We start from the raw sequence: 9,321 nt of genomic DNA, 5'->3' as shown, positions 1-9,321 counted from the left end.
CTACACCACTTTATATAAGAGACTTGATCATTCATGGATTTTGGTATCTCAGGGGATCTTGAAACCAATGCCCTGAGAATACTGAGGGTTGACTACGTATTATTAACAATTTTCTATACATATACATGTTTGCTAGAAAACTGCACATAGTTAATCCTATAGGATAGGCCTGATACTTTTTAACCAATCCTTTAGTTATCTATGAAACGATGATCCTAAGGGGTCTCTCCTGACCTTAATTAACCTTCTTGAAGCATTTATTTTAGCAAAATTCATATCAAAAGGAGTATTTTAAATTGAAGCCCACAACCAGATATATATATCGAAAAACACCAAAATGTTTTAAAAATACCTACCTAAGGGAGTGCATTCTTCAGATTTTATCTGACTGGTTGATACCATGTAGATAGTGTGTACGAGGCTCACCCACACACAGAGAAATTGCCCATAATAGTAAACAAAACTTCAAATAGTACTTTTCTGCTGAACCACTTTTTAAAACTGGTGGGACTCTGGGTCCGGCTGAAAGCTGCAATACAGACTAGCTACTAACCCCAGGCAATGCCACAGTCTGCTTTCTCTTTCCTCTAGTTTTTTGGGGGTCGCTGATGTTGTCTCTTAAGCCCAAAGACATTGAGATTAAAAAGCAAAATTTGAGACCATCTCCATGTCAAAAGTAAAGGCACAGATTTAAGAAGATCCACTGAGGCCGGGCACGGTGGCTTATGCCAGTAATCCCAACACTTTGGGAGGCTGAGGCAGGTGGATCACCTGAGGTCAGGAGTTCGAGACCAGCCTGACCAACATGGTGAAACCCTGTCCCTACTAAAAATACAAAATTAGCCGGACATGGTGGCTTGTGCCTGTAATTCCAGCTACTCGGGAGGCTGAGGCAGGAGAATCACTTGAATCCGGGAGGCAGAGGTTCCAGGGAGCCGAGATTGTGCCACTGCACTCCGGCCTAGGAGACACAGCGAGACTCTGTCTCAAAAAAAAAAAAAAGAAAGAAAAAGAAAAAGAAAAGAAAAAAGGAGATCCACTGACCACAAACTCCAGATTAGAGTCCTGGGGATTCATCTTCTCCAATGTGATGTCTACCCATAGAGGAACACAGAAATTGAAAGAAATCTACAGATGTTGGTGGTGCCTAGTGTTAGCTATTTTAGCTGAAAAAATTAACATAAAACTTATCTCCCCTCTTGCAGTTTTCTCCAGCTTGTCATTTTAGTGGACAGAGCATTAGTCACTCTTGTATTACAAAATGTAAATTTATATTTACAAATATAATAATTTTCAAATGTATACTATTCATTCTCTACGTACTGATCCCACCTACCAAAGAACACCTTTAAGACCATCAGTCTACCTGCCATATTCTGGTATAGTATTTTATTCTTAATTGTTTCCTGATGCCTTTTATTCTCCTCATTCCACCACATCACCCTCTTTCTCTTTTTCTTGTTTTACTCCGGATCCTTAAGTCTACCTCTCTTTCTTCCTCTTTTGTCATTCGTGTATAGCTCTGTGCCTGAAACTAGGTCATGAGGCTGTCAAGATGTCAGCTTCAAATTTAGTTTTCAATTCCCTGTCTTTAAACCACTTTATACTTTGGGGATGATTTGTTCTTCTCTGTGGTTAGATGAAACAATCTGAATACCCTTTATATTGCACATGAGTTTTTCTATATATATATCTGCTTAAATGGCTTCTTATAAGTCATTGTGCACTGGTATTCACATGTTACAGAATCCAGGTTGGTTTAAAAACCTTCTGGTCTTGATAAATTTAAAAAAATGATAAAGCATCTTATAAAAGACACATGAAGTTAATTTTTGTCACCATATTCATAAAACAATTCCAGTAACCAAATGTTGCCCACTTTTCAAAATGCAATTATGGTTATACCTCATCGAGAGAAAAGATTTTTAAATATTAAGAATAAAATAAGCCACAGAAAACTCAAATATCCTGCCCTAGGAACAAATGGTAAAATCTGGTATTCATTAAAATAGTTGAATGTTAATGGAAGAGAAAAATGTAAGCTCTCTGTGTCTGTTTTTTTGGACCAAGACAGTGTGGTTTCTCAGTTTTCTCAAGGCCTGGCCAACTTAGGATCTGGTGAGACTCTTTGGAGACAGGAAATGGGAGGTTGGATGTAGAGGAGAAATGGGTGAAATGGTTTGGGGTTGCTTTGCGCTGCACATCATCCTGACCTTCCCCATGGAGAGGCACTTTCAGGCACAAGGAGCTCAGTCCTCTTGCTAATGCTCTTCTACTGACAGAACCTCACTGTCACCAACATGGGAAAATGGTCTCAAAACAAAACAAAACAGGACAAAATGGAAAGATCTTAGAGGATCTGTTGGTTTTGAGGTTTTAGAAAAGGATAAAGCTATGAAAATCAAGAGCATCACAAACAAAAGGAATTTACCTTCTCTCACCTTCCTTGTCCTGATACCCGCCTTCCTGCCTCCACCTTCAGGTAGACCATTAGCCACAGCAAGACTGTCCAAGGATATCTGCATGGATTGGCTCACTTCAGTTGGCATACTAGTTAATATTCCACCAATGACAGCCATTTGGGTTTTGGAGTTTTCTACCCTTTACATCTTAATTTTATTTTCAATGCAAGTAACTCTAGCAAGGTCAGAGGACTGTCAGTTATTAATACTTCAGAATAAATTAATTGAATCCAATTGCCTTCCCCATAATTTCTAGATTAGACCAGCTGCGCAAAGGAAATAAGACTTCTCACTGCTAGTAGAGAGGGGATTTGTTGATGAGAACTCTGGACTGGGGAGGAGAAGGGGGTCTATTGAGTTTCTGGGGGTCTATTGAGCATCTGAGGTTGAGGGAAATCAGCTGTTTCTGGATATCTACAGTATGAAGAATGGAGCAAAAAGGCAAGAGGGAGGCTGTCAAAGTCAATACTGAATTGTTTAAATGTTTGCCCCTGGCCATGAAAGGGAGGAAAGCTCCCAGCCTGATAGCCTCCAGGAAGAGAGCTGAACAGTTTTATAAAAGGCAGTCAACAGCCAAATTTCTGACTTGCCAATTAGATGAAGGGCAGTGATAACTTTATTATGTATCTGTTGAAGTACATGTTACCAGTTCTCTACTCTTTTGTATTGATGTATGCTTGTGACAAATTCTGGCACACAGTATGTACTAAACAAATGTTAGTCATCATTATTTGTAGTATACATGTTAAAAATCATAAGTGATCAGTTATTAATGTTTATAAAATTTAATTAATTTCTTGAATAGGCAATATATGAAGAGAATATAAAAGCTTAAGAGTTAATTGGGAGATAAGATACACATAAATAAAATGTTTACTCCTTTATTACAGAAAGAAACAGCAATAGAGAAAAATATAGTTGTTAATATGGAAACAGTTTTCCAAAAAGGAAATTTTTCTATAATTATATTTTATATTATTTTGTCACTAAATGTATAATAGAGGTGGTTCAATGTTGGTAAATAGAGGCACATTTTTAATGGCTGCAAAGCACTCTATTATGTAAAGTTACATATTTAACAAATCAATTATTGATCTATGCTCAGGCTATTTCTAGTTTTTATAAAAATTACTATTATAAATAATGCTGTAATAAACTTCTGGGTTGCTAGGATTTTGTTCTAAAACGTTGGTAGTGGGCAAGGACTTTCTAAACTTTATACCAAAAGCAAAATTATGAAGGAAAAGTCTAAATTTCTTTACAAAACAAAGAAGGAAGGATACTACCCAAAGAAGGAAGGATACAGACTCACTCTTACAAGAATTTTAAAAGATAAGTGACAAATATTATTATTTTGTAATAACTCTTAGGTCAGTGATGGGATGGAGAAATTAGAATTTTTAGCATGTTTTGATCTCTTCTTTCTACAGGGTTTCCATATGGTTGCATCTGTCCTCATGTTTGAATAACATGTATATTTCCACTGCTCCCAGTGATGTACATTTAGGCCACCTCTTTTCTTTGGGCCTCAGATCCATATACACATCTGCCTAGTTGAGTTAGCCACTTTATTATCTGACAAATATCTGAAATTTTACATACCAGACAGCACTTTTAATCTTCTCAAGCCTAGGTCTCTCCCAGTCTTTGTGTATTCAGGAGTCCAAATCTTAGAGTATTGAATTACTCTTGATACCTCCCTTTCTTCCTCCTCACACTCAGTATCACCAAGACCCATTGGCACCATCTCCAAATACATCCTTAGTCCATCCATTTCTCTTTAGCTCCACCAAGATCACTCTGGTCCGCATCACTACCCACTCTTCCTTAAACTACAGCTAGAGTTTCCTATTTGGCTGTCCATGGTGTGGCCACTATCCACTGGTGGGACTCACTTTGGGGCAATCCTCTGCCCTCTCTCTTCCTTTCTTCCTCTCTCCTTCCGCTTTCATCTTTCCCCAGGGTCCTCCAATGTGCGCAGTCCTTGCTGGGTCAGGATATTTACACCCGCACTTCCCCTTATCCTGGAGGGTCCTTATCTACTTCTCCAGGGCTGTCTCCTCCTGGGGGTTTGGGACACAGTGTGTAGGTGCTGTCTCCTCTGAGGCCTTTTCCAAATGCCTAGTCTAAGGAGACTCACCCTGGGATTCCCTTTCACACTACCCTGCATTGTTTTCCTCCACATAATATATCAGAGTTTGTATCTATGTATCTAATTGTGAAATAATTTGATCACAAGACCTCTAGGGCAATGTCAGTGACAGTATTTGGCTCATGATTGTGTCCTCCGTGTTTCTCACAGTAGTGCAAATTATGAACCAAAAACGTAGCTGGAGAGGGAAAATCATACCAGCTAACAACACATTTTGAAAACTTGCTTGATGCCAGGCACTCCGCCTTGACAAAAATGATACATGTAAATGCATACGTGGGATTGGAAGAGAGCATGACGTTGCGCAAGCCACACTGGTATTTGTAAGCATACACTCTCTCTTGAATCCTCACATTTGCCCCACACAAATCTCGACTTCTCATTTTAGATGCGACAAAACTGGGGCTCAGAGAGGTTAAGTAAATGCCACGGTCTGGACCCAAACCTAAATCTGTCTGACCCAATAACCACCCTTCTGTCTCCATTTGGGAGTGGCTTCAGTGTCACACCACTTGAGGAGGAGTCTCCATCTTTGTGGGGCTGACTTTGACCTCAGATGCTGCCCAGTTGGGGTAGAATCTTCTATTCCTTTTGTGGACCGCAGAGTTGGATGGGGAAAGAAGCCTAGATGTTCTTTAGGGGAAAGAAGGGCTAAAATGGTGCCACTCCCGTTTTCTCTCCTGACATTGTCCATAACTACAGTGATGCCTCCATCCTGGTTTGCCAGGACAGTCCCAGTCTACTCTAATTATACAGCTTTATTTATTTATTTATTTGTTTATTTATTTAGACAGAGTCTTGTTCTGTAGCCCAGGCTGGAGTACAGTGGTGTGATCTCTGCTCACTGCAATCTTCGCCTCCTGAGTTCAAGTGATTCTCATACTTCACTTCCTAAGTATCTGGGACTACAGGTGCACACCACCATGCCCACTAATTTTTTTTGTATTTTTAGTACAGATGGGGCTTTGCTATGTTGGCCAGGCTGGTCTTGAACTCCTGGCCTCAAGTGATCTGCCCGCCTCGGCCTCCCAAATTGCTGGGATTACAGGCATGAGCCACCGCGCCCAGTCTAATTATTACCAGAAAGATCCCTGGATGGAGAAGAAGTCACATGGTTGCCCTGTCCATTGCTGTGCAGTATGGTTGATGGCCGCTTTGCTGGCTTTACTCTCAGCTTTCTTCCTTCTTCGCCTTGAGCAACTTGCTCTCTCTGCTGTAACACATTGGCTCTTGCAGGTGGCAGCTGACTCTTGCCAGCTTCCGGATCATCTGCCCTGCTAATCCACCTTGCAGCAAGCTCATGGACTAGCTATGGTTGGAGACTACTGTGAGGTGCCAGGACTGGGTTTCAGGATCCATTGCCCTGCTCTGCTCAACATGCAGCTGGCACTCTGCCTGCACACTCATGGCGAGAGGAGCTCATTGTTGTTCCCAGCAGCCCCTCCAATCCTGACCATCTTTCCTCTGGGTTCTTCCACAGTTGACTAGCCTCAAAAACACATTGGAAATTTCAGGGAGAGCAACTAGAGTCCCCTACTCCCTTGCCCACTGGGGGCTGCTTTGTGTCTTCAATGGGGCTGATTTGTGTCTTCAATGGGGCTGATTTATTTCGCTCTGTCAAGCTCTTACAGGGAGAACACGTGTCCTTGCGTTCTCATCTCCGCTTCTTCTATTCCCTGCACAAACCCCTGCTCAGTTTTTGAGATGATAATGAGCTGCTGGTTTTCTACCTTGGGTTTGTCAATTTGTTTCTAACAGAGTGAATATTTTGTCTCTTGATTCATCATCATAGAAAGATGAATGCCATGCGCCGTAACTATACAACGCCTTCCTGTCTGCCTCCTTGCTCCCACATAACCATCAGCGGAGAGATGCTGGGCAGCCTGGATTTATTTTTCTCTGCATTCAGTCAGGCACATGACACCATGTAGGGAATGTCAGTTTATTCCAGCTCAAGGTGAATTTCTTTCTCCTCAAGGCAATGACACAAAAGTTCCCTAGGGGGCAGCCCCTTGGAGACTGCTTGATTGTATTTTTCCGTAAATGAGTTTTCAGGGGAGGGTCAGGCTTCTGGTGGGGTAGAGCTGGCAGGACCGGTGATGGGATTGGATGTTGTCACCCCACGCTGTCATCTGAGGCAGGGCTGGATTGATTGCATCATTTAAAGTAAGCAAAACCCCGAAAAAGCAAAGTGCTTGATTTCCAGGCTTTTCTTTCAAAAGGGGACAGCGGAAAGCAATTTCATTTAAAAAGGGGGCTGTGACTCCAGAAAATTTGTCTCATGTCTGTTCTAGGTGAACTTTATTTTTACTTATTGTTCCATCTAATTGCATTCATTTGCAATGCTGAGTGCTTGCACTTGCCGGGATGGCTGGGTTCTGTGGGTGGGAGGCTGGCTACATACCTAAGAAAGAGCAGGAGGCCAGTGCAGCAGTGGTTTTTAACTAGCACTCCAAGGAAACCGGAGGTTTTTGTAGGAGGTCGGCAGAGGAGCCTGGAAAATAATTTTGGAATGTCTGATATTTTACTTTTCTAGCCATTGCAGTTCTTTGTTGTTTCTTTTATTGCTAACCAGACTTGTCAGTAGAAGGATCATCTAAGTCTTAGTTTAACTAAAGCATGAAGGGCGTCCCGAACTTCAAATTTTGAATATATTTTGAAAAGGAAAAAAAAATTGTCCATATAGTGCCTAGTATTTTCACTGGAAGCAATGTATGGTATAATACTTTGGGATAGTAATAGGAAAAAAAAAAGGTTTTTAAGTAACTCTTGCAAATATAGTTGAACTATTAACAGATTTAGACCTAAGAGTAAGGCGTTGGCACCCTAGCTGGCCTCTTTCCCTCAACCCTCACCTGAGAAAGTCTTTGTGGCACAGAGAGCTCCTTAGACCATGGTCCTACAGTATCAAGCAACAGATGGTAGGGGCTAGGCACAGTGGCTCACACCTGTAATTCCAGCATTATGGGAGGCCAAGGTATGAGGATTGCTTGAGCTCAGGAGATTGGGGTCAGCCTGGATGACATAGTGAGACTCTGTATCTATAGGAAAAAAAAAATTGTGAGATGTCATGGTGTGTGCCTGTAGTCCCAGCTACTCGGGAGGCTGAGGTGGGAGGATCACTTGAGCCCAGGAGGTTGAGGCTGCAGTGTGCCATGATTGCATCACTGCACTCTAGCCTGGGTGACAGAGTGAGACCCGTCTCCGGGAGGGGTGGTGGGGGGAAAGCAAATGGTAGGCGGGGCCAACTGGCGACGGAGCAGGAGGAAGGATGAGGCTGGGGTGTGGATGAGGCAGGGCTGGTCACTCTACAGCTTTTTTTCTCTGCTCTATTTCCATCTTCTTTCCTCAACTTCAAAGTCATGCACTGAAATGCCTCTCTGGGTCAGGCGGAGTAAGGATGTGTGACGTGGATGTGGAGGGCCTGTGACATGCTGCTCCCGGCCACCCTGCTCTGCTCTTTCTTAGGGAGCAGCTCCTGATGAGCAAGGGAAGACTCTGAGTGTCATAATCCAATTTGTATAAAAATACTCAAGAAGAAGTCTCTCCAAACTTCCCTCAAGGCTCTTTCCCTTACATACGATAGTGGCTTTTTCTTGGCTGAAATTCAAAGAAATCTCCAAAATGAACCAGAAAGCACTTTAAATCACTTTGCAATTCACAGCTTATCTCTCCTGGTTGTATATGTTTATTGTATTATTTTTAGAATGTTTACTTAAACAGCGTGCAGAGCTGGCTGAGAAGAATATCTGAATCTTTTATTAGAACACGTCTGTGTCTTCTATCACGGGGGTCCGCTGGCAGGCGGCTAAAAATAGTTTGCTGAGCCCCTTCCTCCATCAGAAGGTTGTTTATTTGCCAGAAAAAGAGACAAAACAGAACCTCCCCTTTCATTCCCCTCCCTAAATTTCTTCTAGAACAGAGTAAATGCTTTGCCTCAGAAATAAAAGTTATCTGCCTTGATGTGGGAGCCGGTGAGTAGTCGGCCCCTTTAGTCTTTTTCTGTGAATCTGATGATGACATTAGTTTTCTGATTACATCACATACTTGGTCTAAAATTTTAGCAGCTTACCACTGCCTACATGGCAGGGCTCGAATGTCCTATATCTGGTATTCGCGGTTCTTTATAATCAACCTATCTCCTTGGTTTATCCAGCATTAGTCTCCACTGCTGATGAACTTACACTTCCAAACTGACTCTTCAAAGTCCCCCAATACCCTTGGCACCTGCCACACTTCTCTCTACTATTAATAAAATGCCTGACTCTTCTGATAAACAGGTCTGGTCCTGCCCATGTTTTCAGGAACGGCACCAGATTGCTGTCCTGGGGAAGCCTCTTCAGCCTGCCAAAGTTAATTCAAGCTTTCCCACCTCCTAAAATACTCGCCACATCAGTCAGCTCTTTTGGACACTTAGCAAATAGGAGAGTCTTTCATAGTTATTTATCTTTTTATGTGGACAAGTTTTGTTTTGTTAGTATCTCAGACTCCTGGGCCTAAATGACCCTCCCACTTCAGCCTCCCAATTTGCTGGGATTATAGACGCTTGCCACTGTGCCTAGCATATTTTTTAGTGTCCTGAAAAATCCCGGGAATGGTGATAGCAGATTTCACTCTCTGTATCTGCAACAGCAATTGACAAATAATAATGCTTAATTAGTGTTTGATGATTGATTTAGGGATTCTCGCTCTATCCCCACGGGGTGA

The 9,321-nt window shown here is 42.1% G+C and overlaps 1 annotated feature.

Annotated features, from left to right (window-relative positions):
• Positions 7,110-7,609: an enhancer, noted in NCBI's record as "H3K27ac hESC enhancer chr2:222236463-222236962 (GRCh37/hg19 assembly coordinates)". NCBI's record gives its function as "activates a minimal SCP1, AML or CMV promoter by ChIP-STARR-seq in primed H9 embryonic stem cells {active_cell/tissue: H9 hESC(primed)}" and the evidence as "EXISTENCE:reporter gene assay evidence [ECO:0000049][PMID:30033119]".

The sequence above is a fragment of the Homo sapiens genome, chromosome 2 (genome assembly GCF_000001405.40).
Source record: "Homo sapiens chromosome 2, GRCh38.p14 Primary Assembly".
In the NCBI taxonomy this organism is placed as follows: Eukaryota; Metazoa; Chordata; class Mammalia; order Primates; family Hominidae; genus Homo; species Homo sapiens.
The sequence above is the reverse complement of the archived record's forward strand: the minus strand, read 5'-3'. Positions and strand labels throughout refer to the sequence as shown.